At 54.5% G+C, this 19,768-nt stretch overlaps 1 protein-coding gene across 3 annotated transcripts in view, besides 2 other annotated features; it reads right to left on the bottom strand.

Annotated features, from left to right (window-relative positions):
• The window catches only part of SYNGR1 (synaptogyrin 1), a 35,585-nt gene continuing 21,046 nt past the window's right edge, over nt 5,230-19,768 (bottom strand). For 2 of the 3 annotated variants that reach the window (NM_145731.4, NM_145738.3), the window contains exons 2-4: nt 16,252-16,489; nt 14,608-14,753; nt 12,424-13,207 (exon numbers count right to left, since the gene is read on the bottom strand). In NM_145731.4, the coding sequence (NP_663783.1) occupies nt 13,115-13,207; nt 14,608-14,753; nt 16,252-16,489 (477 nt within the window). In that variant the 3' untranslated portion in view covers nt 12,424-13,114. Of the gene's footprint in view, nt 9,110-12,423; nt 13,208-14,607; nt 14,754-16,251; nt 16,490-19,768 lie in introns of those variants that run through there. The other variant, NM_004711.5, reaches the window with a different exon arrangement.
• Nucleotides 5,727-6,021: a silencer, noted in NCBI's record as "tiled region #1576; HepG2 Repressive non-DNase unmatched - State 12:CtcfO". NCBI's record gives its function as "represses a minimal TATA promoter and a strong SV40 promoter by Sharpr-MPRA in HepG2 cells {active_cell/tissue: HepG2}" and the evidence as "EXISTENCE:reporter gene assay evidence [ECO:0000049][PMID:27701403]".
• Nucleotides 16,376-16,891: an enhancer, noted in NCBI's record as "H3K4me1 hESC enhancer chr22:39769919-39770434 (GRCh37/hg19 assembly coordinates)". NCBI's record gives its function as "activates a minimal SCP1, AML or CMV promoter by ChIP-STARR-seq in naive H9 embryonic stem cells {active_cell/tissue: H9 hESC(naive)}" and the evidence as "EXISTENCE:reporter gene assay evidence [ECO:0000049][PMID:30033119]".

Here is a 19,768-nt window from a genome sequence, read left to right as displayed (position 1 = left end):
TCCAGTAGCTGGGATTACAGGTGCCCGCCACCACCCAGCTAATTTTTGTATTTTTAGTAGAGATGGGGTTTCACCATGTTGGCCAGGCTTGTCTTGAACTCCATACCTCAGGTGATCCACCCATCTCAGCCTCTCAAAATGCTGGGATTACAGGCGTGAACCACCTCGCCCAACCCCAAAATATTATTTTTTATAATCTTAAATTTATGCTGTTACTCATGTGTTACTCTTACTCCTATTATATTTTATATGTAATATTTTGTAAGTAAAGTGCTTTATATTTTAGTATTTTTATTTCTATTTCTATTTATTATTATTATTTTTTTGAGACGGAGTCTCTCTCTGTCACCCAGGCTGGAGTGTAGTGGCGTGATCTCGGCTCACTGAAACCTCCACCTCCCGGGTCCAGGCGATTCTCCTGCCTCAGCCTCCCAAGTAGCTGGAATTACAGGCACATGCCACCATGCTGGGCTAATTTTTTTTTTTTGGTATTTTTTGTAGAGATGGGGTTTTGTCATGTTGGCCAGGCTCGTCTCGAACTCTGGGTCTCAAGTGATCTGCCCGCCACAGTCTCCCAGAGTGCTGGGATTACAGGCGAGAGCCACTGCACCCGGTCAAAAATTACACTATTTTTTAATATTGCTTTTTGAACAAGAGGCCCTGCACTTTCATTTTGTACTGGGCCCTACAAATCATGCAGCAGCCCTGATTCTGAAACCTAGCATTTCTTTGAAATAGTTTTCATATTTCTCCAAATTGTCCTGAGTCAGTTAAAACCCTTGCAGGGTTTAATGATTTCCCTTAAGTCCAATGAAGGCCAATCCATTACATTATAACTTTTTTTTTTTTTTGAGAAAGGGTCTCACTCTGTCACCCAGGCTGGATTGCAGTGGTGGTGATCATGGCTCACTGCACCCTCAACTTCTTGGGCTCAAGAGATCCTCTCCACTCAGCCTCCCAAGTAGCTGGGACCACAGGTTCAGGCCACCATGCCTGGTTAATTTTTGTATTTTTTGTAGAGACGTTGTCCTCAAACTTCTGGCCTCATTGATCCACCCACTTCAGTCTCCCAAAGTGCTGGGATTATAGGTGTGAGCTACCTCACCCAGCCCTAACTTATCTATTAATTTATTTTTAGATGGAGTCTCGCTCCAGGCTGAGTGAGTGCTCAGCCTGTCACCCAGGCTGGAGTGCAGTGGAATGCTCTCTGCTCACTGCAACCTACCCCTCCTGGGTTCACGGGCGATTCTCCTGCCTCAGACTCCCGAGTAGCTGAGATTACAGGCACCCACCACCACGCCCGAATAATTTTTGTATTTTTAGTAGAGATGCTGTTCTGGAGCTTTGGCCTCGCTTACAGGCGTGAGCCACCACGACCGGCCCTAACTTTTTTTTTTTTTTTGAGACGGAGTCGTTCTCTGTCACCCAGGCTGGAGTGCAGGGGTGTTCCATCTCCGCTCACTGCAACCTCCGCCTCCCGGGTTCAAGCAATTCTCCTGCCTCAGACTCCCGACTAGCTGGGATTACAGGCGCCTGCCACCACACCCAGCTAATTTTTGTATTTCTAGTAGAGTTGGGGTTTTACCATGTTGGCCAGGTTGGTCTCGAACTCCTGACCTCAGATGATCCGCCCACCTTGGCTCCCAAAGTGCTGGGATTACAGCGTGAGGCGCCGTGCCCGGCCCTAACTTCTTAAGGACCACATCGCAGCGTGGAGCGGGTCGCTCTGAAAGGCTGACATACTCCACGGGGCTCAGACGCCCCAATCCATCCCCCATCCCTTTTGGGGTGCTGTCCTCTCCACCTGGGATTCGTTCTTCAGCATCCGACAGGCGGCAGGTGCGGGGCCTTCGGATGACAGTTTCGGTGTTTGGGGTGTCTGGGCAGGGGAAGCACGTGACGGGCCTTTGGTGCCGCAGAGTGGAGCGAACACCTGAACCGCAACGACGAAGACGGGAAGTGGACAGGGAGGCGGGCGTGGCCACTAAGGGATGACAGCGACTCCGCACACGCGGCCTGCCCTCTGCGGACCACAGTGACGTTTCACCTTCTTGAAGATTGGAGAAGGGAGCCATCAGGTGAGAGGGGTCAAGCAGGGCGGGCGGCCTGACCAGCCCCAGCAGCCCCGGCTTGGAACCCGACCCCGCTGTCCCCCAAGGGTCGGCTCCTCTCGCTGAGCAGCGGCCTCAGGGTCGGCCTTCAGGGTAGCTCGGGCTCCTTGGGTTGCAGGCAGCCCCTGCCCTCCGCACTCCTAAACGGGGTCAGAACCTGGGTGTCCTGGAACGGAGCCCCGGGATCCCTCACCCGCCCCGCCGCGCTCCTTCCCTCGGCACCCGCTACTCCTCGGACCTCTTGCAGACTCCGCTCGCCCCCGATGACCGCAATCCGATTGGCTTAGCATCTCTCTCGCCCGCCCCTCTCCCGGGCGTGGGCAGGGCCAGTACCTTGACCGACGGGCCATGCCCAGGCCACGCCCACTTGCTCCTCCCACCCGGCCTGGGCTCCAGAGCCTTTTCTGGTGGGATTTTTTTTTTTTTTTTTTTTTTTTTGAGACAGAGTCTCTCTCTGTCGCAGGCTGGAGTGTAGTTGTGCGATCTCAGCTCACTGCAACCTCTTCCTCCTGGGTTCAAGCGATTCTTCTGCCTCGGCCTCCCAAGTAGCTGGGACTACAGGCGCCCACCACCACACCCGGCTAATTTTTGCTTTTTTTTTTTTTTTTTTTTGGAAACAGAGTTTCGCTCTTGTTGCCCAGTCTGGAGTGCAATGGCGCCATCTTGGCTCACCACAACCTCCACCTCCCTGGTTCAAGCTATTCTCCTGCCTCAGCCTCCTGAGTAGCTGGGATTACAGGCATGCACCACCACGCCCGGCTAATTTTTGTATTTTTAGTAGAGACAGGGTTTCTCCATGTTGGTCAGGCTGGTCTCGAACTCCCGACCTCAGGTGATCCGCCTGCCTCGGCCTCCCAAAGTGCTGGGATTATAGACGTGAGCCACCACACCCGGCCTAATTTTTGTATTTTTTTAGTAGAGACGGGGTTTCACCATGTTGGCCAGGCTGGTCTCAAATTCCTGACCTCAAGTGATCCTCCTGCCTCGGCCTCCCAAAGTGTTAAGATTATAGGCGTGAGCCACCGTGCCCGGCCTCGGTTCATTTGCAGATCTGTGCCTTCTTCAAATACATCTGGACTTCTCCATTCTCTCACGGTCATGGTGACCTGTCTCTTGACTACCATCTAACCAGCAGAGTGGTCTTTTGAGAGCATGCACTGTTGTGGTCACCCACCCTTCATGGCTTTACAGAGGCCTCCAGGCCCTACACTGTGGGATCCATGAGCACCTTCTGGCCTGTCCTTCCTCATTCTCCTCTCTCTCCCTTCTGTGCGTCCACTGCACCTGCCTTCCACCACTTCCAAGCTCTTTCCCAGCCGGGGACCCCTGAGTCCTGGGTCCTCCCTGCAGAACTCACCAGCTTGGATAACTCACCAGCCCACCCGCTCACGTCCAAACCCTGCTCATGGAGAGCGCTTGAGTCGAGGGTCACCTGCTCGACCGGTGGTGGTTGATTTAGTCAGGGTGATCTAAATTGCATCGCATATTCTTTCCAACCCACTCCAGCACTTAGCACAGTTGATATTTTTGCTTGCATGTTTAGTTAACAGCATTTCCCCCACTGCGTGATCATCTCCAAGAGGGCACTGTCTACCTCCTTTGGTGTTGAACTCCTAGCGCCTAGCAAGTTTCTGGTACTTTACAGGCTCTGGGTAAATTTTTTGCCGGCTCGGGGCAACTATATTTAATTTTTTTTTTTTGAGACGGAGTCTCACTCCGTCGCCAGGCTGGAGTGCAGTGGCGTGATCTTGGCTCACTGCAACCTCTGCCTCTCGAGTTCAAGCGATTCTCCTGCCTCAGCCTCCAGAGTAGCTGGGACTAGAGGTGCTGGCCACCACACCCAGCTAATTTTTTTTTTTTTTTTTTTTTTTAGATGGAGTTTTGCTCTTGTTGCTCAGGCCTGGAGTGCAATGGCATGATCTTGGCTCACTATAACCTCCACCTCCTGGATTCAAGCAATTCTCCTGGCTCAGCCTCCCGAGTAGCTGGGATCACAGGCACGTGCCACCACGCCTGGCTAATTTTGTATTTTTAGTAGAGACGAGGTTTCTCCATTTTGGTCAGGCTGTTCTCAAACTCCCGACCTCAGGTGATCTGCCCACCTCAGCCTCCCAAAGTGCTGGGATTACAGGTGTGAGTCACCACGCCCAGCCACGCCCAGCTAATTTTGTCTTTTTAGTAGAGACGGAGTTTTACCATGTTGGCCAGGATGGTCTCAGTCTCTTGACCTCGTGATCCGCCCGCCTAGGCTGCCCAAAGTGCTAGGATTATAGGTGTGAGCCACTGTGCCCAGGTTTTTTGTTTTGTTTTGTTTAGACACGGGGTCTCACTATGTTGACCAGGCTGGTCTTGAACTCCTGGGCTCAAGCAATCCTTCCACCTTGACTTCCCAAAGTGCTGGGATTACAGGCATGAGCCATGGCACCCAGCTGAAGGCCAGTCAATTTAAAAACCATGTCTTGTAAAACATGTGTATGTAAAAGCATGGAAATGGTCTGGAAGGAATGAGGCCAAGCATCTAATCTTGTTTACTCCTGGTGGTTGGGGAAGGAACCAGGATAGGAAATGGTGATGGGGCATGTATGTGGACATGTGCACATGTAAGCTAAGAGACTCTGGCTTCAACTGTAATAATTTTCCTTTTTTTTTTTAGATGGATTTTTGCTCTTGATGCCAAGGCTGGAGTGCAATGGCACAATCTTGGCTCACTGCAACCTCTGCCTCCCCGGTTCAAGTGATTCTCCTGTCTCAGCCTCCCGAGTAGCTGGGATTACAGGCGTCTGCCACCACACCCGGCTAATTTTTTTTTTTTTTTGTATTTTTAGTAGAGACAGGTTTTCACCATGTCGGTCAGGCTGGTCTCGAACTCCTAACCTCAGGTGATCCACCCACCTTGGCCTCCCAAAGTGTTGGGATTACAGGCATGAGCCACTGCAGTCGGCCAATTTTACTTTTTAAAAAGATAATATATTCATAGGTTCATTGTGTAATGAAAAATTAACAAACAATAATAACCAAGTAAGACATGGCCTGTCTAAGGAGACAAACGGGATGGAGCATCCAAGCCAAACGCAGAATGAAGAACAAAGAAACACGGTGACACACTTGCAATCGCTGGTGGGTTCTGAGTCTTCACTTTATTACTATGTCACCAGAAGTCACCACCTTCACTTGGTTCACCACAGATGGATGGATGTCATAAAGGAGGGTGCCACGGGGCCACTGGATTCACTCGAGACTTAACCAGGTGGTGGGGGGGTCTAGAGTGGGGGCCCAGGATGGGGACCGCCCTTCACCGCACACACACGCACACACACACACAGATATATTTGTGGAGCCTTATATTATACATCTTATATATAGAAAATATATATATTTATACTATACACAGGCAGTAACGCTGCGGGAGGGGCCGGGGCACCGACAAGGGCTGTGCGCACCAGGACATGGGGAGTGTCAGGTCAAGTGCATCGCTGGGAGGCAGCCGGCCCAGTCCCTTCTCCCATAAACTCCTGGGAGGGGCATTCCCCCTTTCGTGCTCCTTAGAGAATCAAAGGGGTCTTGGGCCAAGGTTAGGGGTCTCCCAGGGCTAACAGGCAGGGTGTCTCAGTTACATGGGGAAACCTGGGATCCCCGAGGCTTTGAAGATCAAGAATCACCAGGGAAGGATGGAGTAGGGAACTAACGTCAGTCCCCTGGGAATTAGCCCCTCAACTGCGACACCCCCAGGTGGATAGGAGCCGTGCAGGCAGGACAGTCTGTGACTGCCCAGGATGAGCCAACTCAGAAGGCAGAAGACCTGACTCCTGAACCTCTCCCTCTGTGCTTGACCTTGGACAAGTCGCTGTCTCCCTACCCCAGACTCTGCCGACTCTAAGCGTCCTTGCGACTCTACACTTATGTGAAACCTTTTTTCCTGGGCCCTCTCTTGTGCTTGATGGGGAGGAGGGAGCCACCCTGCAGGGTCCAGCTGCAGGAGGGCCCTTCTCCAAGGAAAGCTTTGGGAGCAAGGGAGAAGTAGGGGAGGGCAGCTGGGAGGAAAAGGGATACCGGACAGAGTTGGGCCTGGGGTTCCCCAGGGGCTGTCCTCTGCCAACAGAAGGAGCGAGTTTCCCCATGAACCTTCCAGGGCAGAGTCAGGAGCCCTGGGTCCCATCCAAATCTCGCCCTCCATCTCTCACCCTCTCTCATCTCCATCCTGGGCAGGTCCCTGCCAGAGCCCAGCCTGATGGGGAAGATCATGCCTGGAAGGGCTTCTGGGCTGAACCCGGGAAGAGTGAGGGATTCTTCGTGAGATGACTCAGCACCCCCCATTCCTGGCAGGAGTCTTGACAGCTTTCCCTGCCTAGGGTGGCAGGCAGGGCCTGTCACAAACACCCAAGATGGAGTTAAGCTTACCTGGTACCCTGCCCTCCGGCTGAGGATCACCAGCAGCTGGCTGGCACCCGAGGAGAAACAGATGGGCAGTACCCTGAGGTCTCCTAGTGCCCATCAGCAGGAGAGGCTTTTGGTGGACAGTGGGTGAGGGTCAGAACATCTCACAGCCTCTTGTGGTGGGCACAGAACTTCACTCTGCCATAAACACTCCTGCCCTCACTCACGCCCTCACCTTTGGCCTGGTACAGGTTTCACTCTTCAGGCCAACAGATAACCTGCCCCCATGCTGGTCCCATGTGGGCCACCTGGCGGCGGGGGACTGTGGACAGAGCCCCTTCTCCGGATTGGAAAATGAAGTCAGCAACAACCAGCTGTCACACAGCTGGCTGGGGTCCTCTCCATCACTGCTGTCCTTTGGGAGGACTTGGACACACCTGAGTTTAGATCCGTGTTCCACTGCCAACTCGCCTATGCTTGCCGAGCCTCAGTTTCCCTTCTGTTAAATGGGGATAATGGTGCTACTTCTCTGCTTAGGACTTCCTCCTCTTTCCCTTAACTCTGGCCCAGCTTTGGGGCCATCGAAGCAGGGACCACCCATGCCCTTGGTATCTCCAGCACAGGGGCCGGGTAACTGCTGAGTGAGTAAGCAGGTGAGGGATCGCCTGCCTCTTAGGATTCTTAGATGGGGGATGGGGGGATGGTGGTGAAAACACCCAGCACTGGGCCCGTCCACCACCTGCTCTGCTCTGCTCCCTGAAGGACAGGCCAGTGGACACTGGGTGGACAGGGGGATGGGCCCCCAGCGCTCTCCCATACCTCCCTGTCCCTTATGGCTCAGTGAAGAGCCCACCTTGTGCAAGAATCGACCTGCCCCCACTCAGAAGAGATTATGACCTCCTCAGGCCCCACGGCCCTCTTTGGGCCTTTGGGTCACCTGCCACACTCTCCCCTACAGCCCATGGTCTTCCCTGGGCCTCCCATGCCTCAGGGGCTCTTGCCTGTGTCATCCTGGGGGCAGTGTCTCTCCACGGCCACAGCCCAGGAGCCGACCTGGCTGATTCCAAAGCCCTGTCCTTGCCGCTCTGCCTCCCATAGGGAGGCTGGCTCCACAGTGGGCCTTCTGGAAGGCCAAGGAAACACCTCTCATGCGCTTGGCTGCTGCAGCCCCCGAACCCTGACTGACCCCAGATGAGAGGAGAGGTGACATAGTGTCCCAGATCAGTTCTGTTTCCTGGGAGGTCACAAGGGCAGGGAATCGAGGCACCTGCTGGGCAGCTGGGGCCAAGAAACCCAGGCGTCAGGGCCAGCTTTGCCACTCACTCACCGTGACCTCGGGCCAGTCACACCCTCATCTGTGCCTTGTTGTCCACCCAGCCCTAGGTAAGGGCTTAGTGACCCCTCCTAGAGGCAAGGACAGTGATCAGTCCTTTGAGAGACCACGAAGGGGTTTGCTGGAGCCCCCTGGAACAAGCGTCTGTGGGACACGCAGAGCACAGAGCAGCACCCGGGGTGAGCCCTCTTGGAGGAGGCCAAGGGCCAGGGGTAGGACCAGGGGGATGTGGGTGGAGGGACCCGGAGGTGGGGCTGTCCCCAGGGGAGGAGGAACAGCTGGGGCAGAACAGGCCCTTGGCATGCAGCAGAATCAGGGTGTCTCAAGGGGCTGAGGGCCCCAAGGCCTCCCAGAATGACAGTAACACTGAGCAGGGAAGCCCCAAGCGTGGGGATGGTAGGAGGTGGGTGGCCAGGGAAGAGCACGTGGTCTGCAGTCGGGCAGCCTGGGCTTGGCCCCACCTCTATCACTAGCTGCCTGAGTGATTCTGGGCAAGTAATCTTGACCTCTCTAGACCTCAGTTTCCTCAACCATAAAATGGAGACGGCCCTGACACTCTTAGCAGGACTGCCAGAGCAGGGTGACAGCCCCCAGTGTCCTGTGGGTGTTTACACTCACCCTATGACCAAGCCACGGTGTAGCCACACTTCCCAGCATTATCTGGATCTGTCTTTCCCACCATTCTGGCCTCTGGTACCACCAGGGCTTCCTCCACAGCTCATCGCTCCCCTTTCCAGTGGCCATTTCTGCCAATGTCACCACCCATGCCCAGCACAGGCCGGATGCCCAGTAGGCGCTCAAGGAATGCTTGATGACACAATGTATGAATGCAAATACCCCTGGCCCCCACCCTCTAGGCCCCTGCGGGGCACATGCCCTGGGATATACTTGCACATACGTAGACAGTCCCCAACACTGGACTGCCCCACCCCTGCCCCGAGCTACCCTGGACCTCAGTGGGACAAGGCAGAGGCTGATGAGGCGCTGGGCAGGGCAGCCTGGGCAGGAGCAGGGGCTGGGTGTGGAGAGAGGGGACAGATGGGGAGGGGCGGGGGCAGGCGGTCACTGTGGCTCAGTAGCCCTGCGACTGGTAGCCCTGGGGCTCGGTGTCGAAGGTGTTGGCCGGCTGCTGGTAGGTGCCGCCCATACCGGCGGGATCCGGCCCAGTGGGCTCCACGTAGGGCGCGTAAGGCATGCTGGAGTCCTGGCTGGGGTCCATGTAGTCCTGGGAGAAGAGGGCCGAGTCGGCGCCAATCTGGTACCGCTGGAAGGCCAGCACAGCCTGGCCCGCCTGGGGACAAAGGCCGGCGAGGACAAGGACAGGCGGGAGGGGGTGGTTAGGGGAGAGACAGACAAGAGCACTGGGTTAGTGGTGGTTAGTTCACAGGACACAGGCAGGAGAGGGTTAAAGATCCTCAAAGCACCAAACATGAGACCAAGCTTGGCTGTGGAGAAGGAAGGCTGTTCTCGCAGCCACCCCCGGAAATGCCCAGAACCATATCATCCAGCCAGAAAGTACCCCAGAAATCACCTGCCCCTGTCTCCCAATCCCAGAGGTCAGTCTGGGCTACCAAAAGTTCTAGATCTCCATTATGGAGTGTTAAGATGGCTCAAAGGCTCACAACAGCCTTCTTAAAAAAAGCTTCTCAGCGGGACAAAGGACTGTTAGCATCTCCTAAGAGTCATTCTTTTGTCTCTCTTGCAGCTAGGCATGGCCATGTGACTACGTTTTGGCCAATGGGGTACCCTCATGTTCTCTGTCCCACCCTCTGACCTGATGCCTGGAACACAGATGTGATGGCTGGAGCTCTAATTGCCAAAAGGGACCACAAAGACCATGAGCCAAGTCTGTAGGAATGAAAGATGCCTGGGGGCCATGCACCGCGGCTCATGCCTGTAATCCCACAACTTTGATAGGCCAAGGTGGAAGGATTGCTTGAGGCCAGGAGATCAAGACCAGCCTGGGCTAAAATATGCACCTCTGGCATATTGACTATGTTGAGTTAAAGGCACTTGAAAAACAGCAGGCACAATAACAATCTGATCTTCTTCTTGAAAGCAGGAGAGGCCAGGCGCGACAACTCATGCTTGCAATCCCAGCACTTTGAGAGGCCAAGATGGGCAGATTACTTGAGGTCAGGAGTTTGAGACCAGCCTGGCCAACATGGTGAAACCCCATCTCTACTGAAAATTAAAAAAATTAGCTGGGCATGGTGGCATCACCTGTAATCCCAGCTACTCGGGAGGTGCAAGCAGGAGAATCGCTTGAACCCAGGAGGCGGAGGTTGCAGTACCCTGAGACAGCGCCACTGCACTCTAGCCTGGGCAACAAAGTGAGACTGTCTCAAAAAAAAAAAAAAAAAAAAAAAAGGCCAGCTTGGGCAACATAGCAAGACCCCATCTCTACCAAAAAAATCCACAAAAACCAAATTAGCCGGGCATAGTGGTACTGGCCTGTAGTCCCAGCTACTCAGGAGGCTGAGGTGGGAGGATTGCCTGAGCCTATGGGTTTGAGGCTGCAGTGAGCTATGATCCAGCCTGGGCAACAGAGTGAGACCCTGTCTCTAAAAAAAAGGAAAGATGCCTGGGTCACCGAAGACCTCTGGAGCCAGTATGCCAGCCCTGGACCACTTCCACAGCCTTGGACTTTGTTGAAATCACTGTTATCTGGGATTTCGGTCACCTGCTGCTGAACCTAATTCTAAGTGAGAAACTGAGTTAAATAGAGTGAAACAAGTTTCAGGATCATCTGACTTGGCAGAGCCCTGACTATTCAATGTGACCGCGCCTAGCCTGAAGCCGCCCCGTTTTTTTTTTTTTTTTCACAGATCTCAGATTGGGAAAGACTTGTCTACAGCACACATGCATGGTTAGGAAATTATTTTTCAATAAAAGCAATTACATTGTTATTAAGGACAATGACACTGACCACACTGAGCTAAGTCAAAGTTTAAGTAAATCAAACTTGTCATTAGAAAAGCAGCTTAGAGGTTTATTGCAAAAGCCTTCTCCAGAAACTTTCCCGGCCCGGGGAATCTGCCTGTGATGGGAATGTGCTGATACTCTCCAGACCCCTGTTTTAGGGCTGGGAAGATTGAGGCCTAGAAAAGGAAGTGCCCGTGGCAGAGTTACTGCTAGAACCCTTCCCTAAACATGGGGTCCTACCCCTTCCCAGGTCAGGGCGCCCTCACCTCCTTCCCTTTCACTGGCCCCTGACGAGGCACTAAGTCAACCAACAACCTAAAGAGCCACTTAGTGAAGAGGTAGAGAGTGAATATACCTAGCGTTTTATTCCACAAAGTTCCAGAAACCCAGTGACTGGGCATTTCCTTTTTTTTTTTCTTTTTTTTTTTGAGACAGAGTCTCGCTCTGTCACCCAGGATGGGGTGCAATGACACAACCTTGGCTCACTGCAACATCTGCCTCCTGGGTTCAAGTGATTCTCCTGCCTCAGCCTCCCAAGTAGCTGGGATTACAGGTACCCGCCACCACACCAAGCTAATTTTTGTATTTTTAGTAGAGACGGGGTTTTGCCATGTTGGCCAGGCTGGTCTCAAACTCCTGACCTCAGGTGATCCGCCTGCCTTGGCCTCCCAAAGTGCTGGGATCACAGGCATGAGCCACCATGCCCAGCTAGGGCATTACCTTTTGATTGTACTCATTGACCAAAGTTCTGAGGGGAAGCACTTTCTGGGAGGTGGGTATTTAAAGCAAAGTGCCAGCACCTTGGGAAAGGCAGACTAGGTCTAAAGAAATTGGGCTAAGGGATAAGGTGTAGCCCTCTGGGGTTTCCCACTATGTTAGCATGAGGTCCTGGCTGCTGGGGGCTCAGACGCCGGAGCCTGAAGAAGCAGGGGAGGTGAAGAGCCCCCTGAGGGTACACTTGAGCCCTGGCCAGCCCACAGGAACTGACTGAATGAACCTTGAGAGCAATGTCTGTAGACGCGGTTCTCCCCGAGCTCCCTGGCTCTACTATCCAGGCTGGTTTCCTGTACAGAGGCAGAGGGCTGGAGCAGATGACCCCTACTGATCCTTCTAGGGAGATGCCTCTGGCTGTAGGCACTCATACTGTCTCTGTGTTCAGCTCTCTGCCCTCACTAAGTCAAAGCTTCATTTGGGCAACCAGTTTAAGGGGCCACAAGACAGGAGCAAAGGAGAGGCCTGGGCCCCCGCTGGCCTGGGCTGCAGAGGGAGGATGGGAGTTCTACTGAGAGCCCAGGGACCTGGTGGTCCCCTGGCCCCACTTTCTCAGTGTAGGTGCTCTCTCTGCAGCATCTCCAGCGTGCAGCAGGCAGTCTGCATCTGCACTGGGATGCCTCCAGTGCCAGGAAGCTCACTCTCGATGTGCTCAGGCCCTCGCAGGGTTGAGGCATTGCTTTGGGGGAACTGTCTGTGCTCCACCAGCCTCCTCAACTCCAGCAGAGAGTGGAGGAATGGGTGAGTTCCTGCCCAGGCAGCTGGGGGCCTCAAGCAGGAAACCTGTGTAGAACCAGAGACCAAAATCCTTTGGAGGAACAAGGATTCATCACATGAGAATTACTCTTAAAGTAGAGATTCTGGAGGTGCCCCTGACTCTCTGGAGAGAAGAATGAATGAATGAATGAATGAATGAACAAAAGAGCTTACATTTATTGAGCATGCTTGTGCTAAGCCCTGGGCTGGCCTTTGTTTCATTGGCACAACAGCCTTGAGAGGTTGGTCCATTATCACCCCTCAGTTCAGGTAAGTGGACTGAGGCTGAGAGAGGTGCACGGGTTTGTCAGGGTCACATAGCACATGAGGACAGAGCCAGACCAGGAGCCCTGTGACATCCTCGGCCAGGATGCTAACCCTAAGGACAGTGAGGTCACTCTTCACACCGCTGTGAAGGGAGAGGCTATTGCTCTGCACCCACAGCTCAGCAATGGGGACCATGAACGCCTCTAGGCAGCCCATGTATGGGGCCGCTACCTACCTGGTAACTGTCCACGGCTGTCCATTTGGAAGAGATATTGATGTGTTTGTTTTCTCCTCCCCAGCCTGTGGGCTCCTGGAGCCAAGGACCCCACCTAATTCATCACTAGGCACAAAACAGCTGCTCAATAAATGTTTACTGAATGAATGAACGCATGAAGAATCAATGAAGGAGGCGGTGAAGGAATGAATGAGTCAGTGGAGAACCTGAATTGGTTCCTCAAGCCAGCCTTCCACTGCCCTGCATGCCCTGGCATCTTGGACATTTCTGGCACTAGGCTGCTCCTGCCACCTCACTGCCAGGGGTGATACAGGGCTGCCGGCCTCTGCAAGCCGGGGAGGCCTACGGCTGTGCCGAGGCAGGGAACAGTGTGCTGTACTCCTCCTGGAAGCTTAGGTCCTTGAATCTCCGCACGGCCAGGGCTGCGGTCAGGCTCTGCCAGGAGAGAGTAGGGGTGAGGCCAGTGGGGAAGAGCTGCAGAGGTGCCAGGAGGGAGGCTGGCTTCAGGGGGCCGGGCAGGCACCTGTTGGTCAGGTACTTCAGACCCATGGCTAGAAATCATCCACTACTCCTCTGTGAGCCCCGCCCCTAAACTCCTCCCTGTAGGCTGGGTGGTCCCCACTTCTGGGGCACCTTCTCTGGACTGAGATCCCCTGGGGTCACCTGGTTCTTCCTACCCAGTCTTGAGGACACTGAGGGGTGGAGCAGCCAAGGCTGGCCCACTAGGGCCTGAACCACGGGTCTCCCCCTCCAAATGCTATCTTCTAATATTGTTGGGGAGATGGGTGTACCCCTCAAAAATGGATATCCAGGGGCCCTCAAAAAGAAAAAGACGTCAACCCGGGGCAAACCAGAAGGATGGGGGAAACAGGGACGGCTGGCGGCCTGTATGTAGCCTCAAGAGTCTCCTTGCAGGAGGCTGGGCCCAGAAGTGCTCGCCGGTCCAGAGGGGAGGCAGCTGTGGGTTATGGGGAGGGCTCTTGGGATGGGGCTATGGAGGTGATGTGGCCCCAGATCTCTGCAGAAGGGTGATTAGGAGAGAAGAAACAGACATGACCCAGACCAGTGGGAAAGAGGGGCCAGCCGAGCTGCCAGCCCAGGGCCTGCTGGGCCCAGAGACATACTTTGTTTGACACACACAATATATTGTTTAAACCTGAATAAACTTCCAACATATCAAGATCAGATTTCATGTAAAAATTCAGACTTCTGCCTTCTCTAGGTCCCTATTCCTGCTTGGCAGCCGAGCAGAGGTACCCTCTTAGGACTTAGGATAGGCACGCATGTGTCACCCGGCCTGCTCACGGCTCTCAGGCCCTGCCTGGCCCATGTGCATCTGATGTCGACACCTGTGTCCCCCAGATCCTACCCTCTCATTTTATGGATGGGAAGACAGAGGCTAGGAAAATCAGAGGCAGCCCCGATCGGAAGCAGGTCTCCTGACTCCTAGGCAGGGCTGCTTCCCAGCCTCAAACCCTGTAAGCCTCACCTTCCTGTCTAGGCCTCTGCTTTCTCATCTGTGAAAGGGGATAATAAACACCATTTACCCAGAGTGGTTTGGGGGGGGGGTGGTCCGTGACCCCCAGGAAGGCTGCTCTGCACCACAGTGAGGGTCTGCCATCTCCAGTGACCATGCTACCCCCGAGGGCTGTAGCCTCCTTGCTGAGGGAGGCAGCACCACTGTGAGCGCCGCAGACAGGCAGGCAGAAGAGGGAGCGAGGGTAGTGTGGGCTCCCAGAGGCAGAGCGGGTCCCAGGCTAGCGAAAGGCCACCCATCCAGGGGCTCAGTGGGGAAAGGGGACGAGTGTGGGCTGGTGCGCGGTGGCTGTACTCACCCAGGTGAAGATGGAGAAAAAGGAGAAGGCGATGGCGGCCCGGGCTGCGTCCGTCCCTTCGTTCAGTGGGTTGTCCTTGGGCTTGGAGACCTGCCACTGGTTGGCCAGGTAGCAGAATCCCACGAACCAGAGGAAAGCCCAGAAGGCTGGGGGGTCCCAGGACCGGGCAGAATAGGCAGTGCCACACATGGGGGAGAGGGTGAGTGGGGAGAAAATGGGGAAGCCGAGGAACAGAGGGACATTCAAGAGTGCATCTCCCATGCTCCCCCACCCCCAAAGGGACAGGCAAAGGGGGTAGGGGAAGAGAGAGGGGAGCCAAGAGAAGATGCAGGCGAGAAGAGGGAAGCCAGCCAGATGCAGGGGGGAGGAGGCCACAGACAGGGCAGGGTCAGGGCCAGTCAGAGGAGAGCCACGGGCAGTGAGAGGGGAGGATGGAGGGAGAGACAGAGAAAGAAGGTAATCAACTCAGGCCGCATTTCTGCAGCCTCTGCCAAACCCCCATGTCCAGCCACACCGCTGACGTGGGCCCCCCCGGTCCACCCCTGATGCCTGCAACTCTGCAGGCAGGAAGACCCCAACCCTCAGGCTGCCAGACAAATGAGGTATGGGAAGGAGGACGAGGCTGGGGCAAGGATGGCAGCTTGGCTGGGTGGGTCTGGGCTTCGACTTCTAACGTGCTGCGACCCCACAGAGCCCCAGGTTTAGCGAGGGGCCCACTGAGAGCCGAGCCTGGGGGCGTCAGCAGTGGGAGCCTCATAGCCACGCAATCTCCTGTGAGTGCCAAGGTCTCCCCAGAGAAGCCCAGACCTGCTCAGGACAAGGCGTGCATCTGCCAAGCAGGTGGGGTGCCCACCTGGGGCCCAGCCCACCTCCCAGAGGCACTGCCAGGGAACCCTGAGGCTCTGTGGAAGTTTGAGAACCATTCATTTAGTTCTAGTTCCTTCTAAAACTAGACCTCATGACCTGCCTTCAGCCTGGCTTATCCTGAGAGCTCCAGGCTTAGAACTAGGGGTTGGTCCCAGTCCGGGGACCCAAGCCTCAGAACAGCGAGGCTGAAGCCTCGGGTTCGGACCCCTGACTGAGAGCATCCACCAATCAGATTCCTGGAAGTCACGGAGCAGAGGTCAGGGTGCCTCTGCCAAAGGCTGCTTCTGAAGGGCAAAGGGCAGCAGGTCAGGTTGGCTCCACAGGTCCAGGCCCTGGTCCTGCCAAGGTCTGGCTGGGAGGCGTGGGGAGGCTGAGGCTCCAGGGCCCCTGCTGTGCACTGGGCACCCAGTCACCGCCTTGCTTAGTCCTCATGAGGCTGCCCCAGGGAGGTGGCACAGAAGAGGCCACTGAAACACGGGCCAACCCATGGGGGCTGGCACATGCCCAGTGCCATCCATGGGTCCCTTAGACTAGAAGGAACTAGAATCCCATCCACGCTCCCCTGCCTGTGGGCAGCATGGGTTATTTTGGGGTCCCAGGCCCTGTCCTGGTCCCATCCTTCCTGCTGCCAGCCATGTGACCCTGAGTCCATCCCTTCACCCGCCTGCACCTCATTTCCTCATCTGAAACATGGGAAGAAGGGTGGCAGCCGCCTCCTATGGCCGGGACAGCCCTCTGTAGACTCTGTGCAGGGGGTACCTGCTGGGTGGGGCTCACCCGAGACACCGATGTCGGACAGGACGGCTTTCTTGCGGTCCTTGACGCTGCTGATCTGCGGGAAGTACACGTCCAGGGCCAGGTACAGCAGGCAGGTGAGGAAGGCGAGCACGCCCACGGCCACGCCATAGCTGCAGGCGTTGGGGTTGCGGTTGTAGATGCAGAACTCCTCCCCCTCGGAGGCGCTGTTGAGGTAGCCCTCGTTCACGATGGAGCCGAACACCACTATGGAGAACAGCTGTCGGGGGTGGGGCCACACCTTAGACCTGGGCAGACCCCTGCCTCACACCACCCAGGGGACGGGGAGGCTGCCACCCTCGCCTGCTGCCTGGCCCTCCGTGAGCTACAAGACCCGGGTTAAGCAGGCATTTCAGAGGGGGATCCCCAGAGAGGGAGGGTAACTTATGTGGGTCACATAGCACCAGGTGGGGGTCAATCACTTCCTTCCTCAGCCACAGGCACTGAGGACTCTCTGACCATAGATGTGGCCCCTTCCAACACCCCTCAGCCAGGTCCTAAAGGTCTTCCTGGGCCCTGACACCAAGATATCCTGGGACTGGACCGACTCTCAAAGAACAAGGAGCCACAGGCCCTCCTGGGCTGTGGACCTGCCCAGCCCCCACCCCCAGGCTGACTCCTCCAGATGCTGGCATGTGCCGGGCCCCATCTTGTGTTCTCCTTCCCTCTGCAGAGCTGTGGGCTGGTCTGGGGTCTCAGGCCCCTACCCAGGCCTGGCAAGTAGATGGAGTGATGAATGAAAAAATAACAGTGGGCTGGGGGTGGTGGCTCATGCCTGTAATCCCAGCACTTTGGGAGGCCAAGGTAGGAGGATCACTTGAGCTCAGCAGTTGGAGACCAGCCTGGGCAACATGGCAAAACCCCGCCCCTACTAAAAAATAAAAAAATTACCCAGGTATGGTGGTGCGTGCCTGTAGTCTCAGGTACCAGGGAAGATGAGGGGGAGGATCTCTTGAGCCCAGGAGGTGGAGGTTGTAGTGAACCGTGATCATGCCACTGCACTCCAGCCTGGGTGACAGAGAGAGGCTCTGTCTCAAAAAAACAAAACAAAGCAAAACAAAAAACTCTCGGGCCAGGCGTGGTCGCTCACGCCTGTAATCCCAGCACTTTGGGAGGCAGAGGCGGGTGGATCACGAGGTCAGGAGTTTGAGACCAGCCTGGCCAACATGGTGAAACCCCGTCTTTACTAAAATACAAAAATTAGCTGGGCATGGTGGCGGATGCCTGTAATCCCAGCTACTCGGGAGGCTGAGGCAGGAGAATCACTTGAACCTGGGAGGTGGAGGTTGCAGTGAGCCAAGATTAAGCCACTGCACTCTAGCCTGGGCAACAGAGCAAGACACTCTCAAAAAAAAAAAAATCTATCTATGTGTGTGTGTGTGTGTGTGTGTGTGTGTATTAAATAGAAAATAACAATAGACACAATCCTGCCAGATACAGGGCACCCTGCATGATCCCAAGGGTATATTACACATGCTATCTCACTGACCCCACTACAGGATATGGCAAGAAGTGATGGGATATCACTTCTGGGAGTAAGTGACAAAGGATTTCTGCCTCCATCTTGCTCGTCCTCTTCTCCCCCACTCCCTGGTTGCTCTGATGAAAGCTGTTGTGTTTTGGACTACCCTTTGGAAAGACTGCATGGCAAGGAACTGAGGGTCTTTAGCCAACTGCCCACAGGGAACTGAGCCCCTCAGTCCAACACCCACAAGTAATTGAATCCTGCCAATACCATGTCAGTGAGCTTAAGAATGGATCCACCCAGGCCAGGCACAGTGGCTCACGCCTGTAATCCCAGCACTTTGGGAGGCCGAGGTGGGTGGATCACCTGAGGTCAGGAGTTCGGGACCAGCCTAGCCAACATGGAGAAACCCTGTCTCTACTAAAAATACAAAAAGTAGCCAGGTGTGGTAGCACATGCCTGTCATCCAGCAACTTGGGAGGCTGAGGCAGGAGAATTGCTTGAGCCCAGGAGAACTGTTTGCTGGGCCTGGGCGGAGGTTGCAGTGAGCCGAGATTGTGCTATTGCATTCCAGCCTGGGTGACAGAGAGAAACTCCGTCTCAAAAAAAAAAAAAAAAAAAAAAAAAAAAAAGAGCTGGGCGTGGTGCATGGTGGCTCATGCCTATAATCCCAGCACTTTGGGAGGCTGAGGTGAGCAAATCACGAGGTCAGGAGATCAAGACCATCCTGGTTAACATGGTGAAATCCTGTCTCTACTAAAAATACAAAACATTAGCTGGGTGTGGTGGCACGTGCCTGTGGTCCCAGCTACTTTGGAGGCTGAAGCAGGAGAATCGCTTGAACCCAGGAGGTGGAGGTTGCAGTGTGCCAAGATCAACCCCACTGCACTCCAGCTTAGGCAACAGAGTGAGACTCCGTCTCAAAAAAAAAAAAAAAAAAAAAAAAAGAATGGATCTACCCTCAGTTGAGCCTTCAGATGAAACCACAGCCCTACCTGATGCTGTGATTATAGCCTTGTGAGAGACCCTGAGGCAGTGGCACCAAGCTTAGCAGATTCCTCACCCACAGAAACTGTCAGATAACAAATATTTCTTGTTATAAGCCTTATGTTGTAGGGCAATTTGTTGTGCAGCAATAGCTTGCCAATACATCCTGCACCATCAGCATTTTGCAGATAAGACAGTTAAGGCTCAGCTATTGTTAACACACCCAAAGTCACACAACTGGTCAGTGACAGAACCTGGCTTCAAACCCAGGGTACCTGACTCTAAAGTTCACGCTTTTTGGCTGGGCATGGTGTCTCACGTGTGTAATCCCAGCACTTTAGGAGGCTGAGAAAGGAGGATCACTTGAGTCCAGGAGTTCAAGACCAGCCTCAGCCTCCTGAGTAGCCGGGACTATAGGCGTTTGCCACGATACCTGGTTAATTTTTTGTATTTTTAGTAGAGATGGAGTTTCGTCATGTTTGTCAGGCTGGTTTCAAACTCCTAACCTCCAGTGATCCACCAGCCCCAAGCCTCCCAAAGTGCTGGGATTACGGGCGTGAGCCACCATGCCCGGCCAGAAACTATAATTTCTTTTTTTTTTTTTTTTGAGATGGACTTTCGCTCTTGTTGCCCAGGCTGGAGTGCAATGGTGCAATCTCAGTCCACCACAACCTCTGCCTCCTGGGTTCAAGCGATTCTCCTGCCTCAGCCTCCCGAGTAGCTGGGATTACAGGCATGCGCCACCACATCCGGCTAATTTTGTATTTTTAGTATAGATGGGGTTCCTCCATGTTGGTCAGGCTGGTCTCAAACTCCCGACCTCAGGTGATCTGCCCACCTCGGCCTCCCAAAGTGCTGGGATTATAGGAGTCAGCCACCACGCCCGGCCTCAGAAACTACAATTTCAATGTGAGTTGAGCATATTTTCTTCCTGGGTGATGCCCAGGATGGGTAATGATTCCAGGACAGGTATGTGAAAAATATGAGAAGCATTCTTAATATTATCTTATCTCTGTAAGATGTCTATAGTTTACATGGATTTTATAA

The sequence above is a fragment of the Homo sapiens genome, chromosome 22 (assembly GCF_000001405.40).
Source record: "Homo sapiens chromosome 22, GRCh38.p14 Primary Assembly".
NCBI classification, from domain to species: domain Eukaryota; kingdom Metazoa; phylum Chordata; class Mammalia; order Primates; family Hominidae; genus Homo; species Homo sapiens.
Note: the sequence above shows the minus strand (reverse complement) of the source record. Positions and strands in the feature narration are given on the sequence as shown.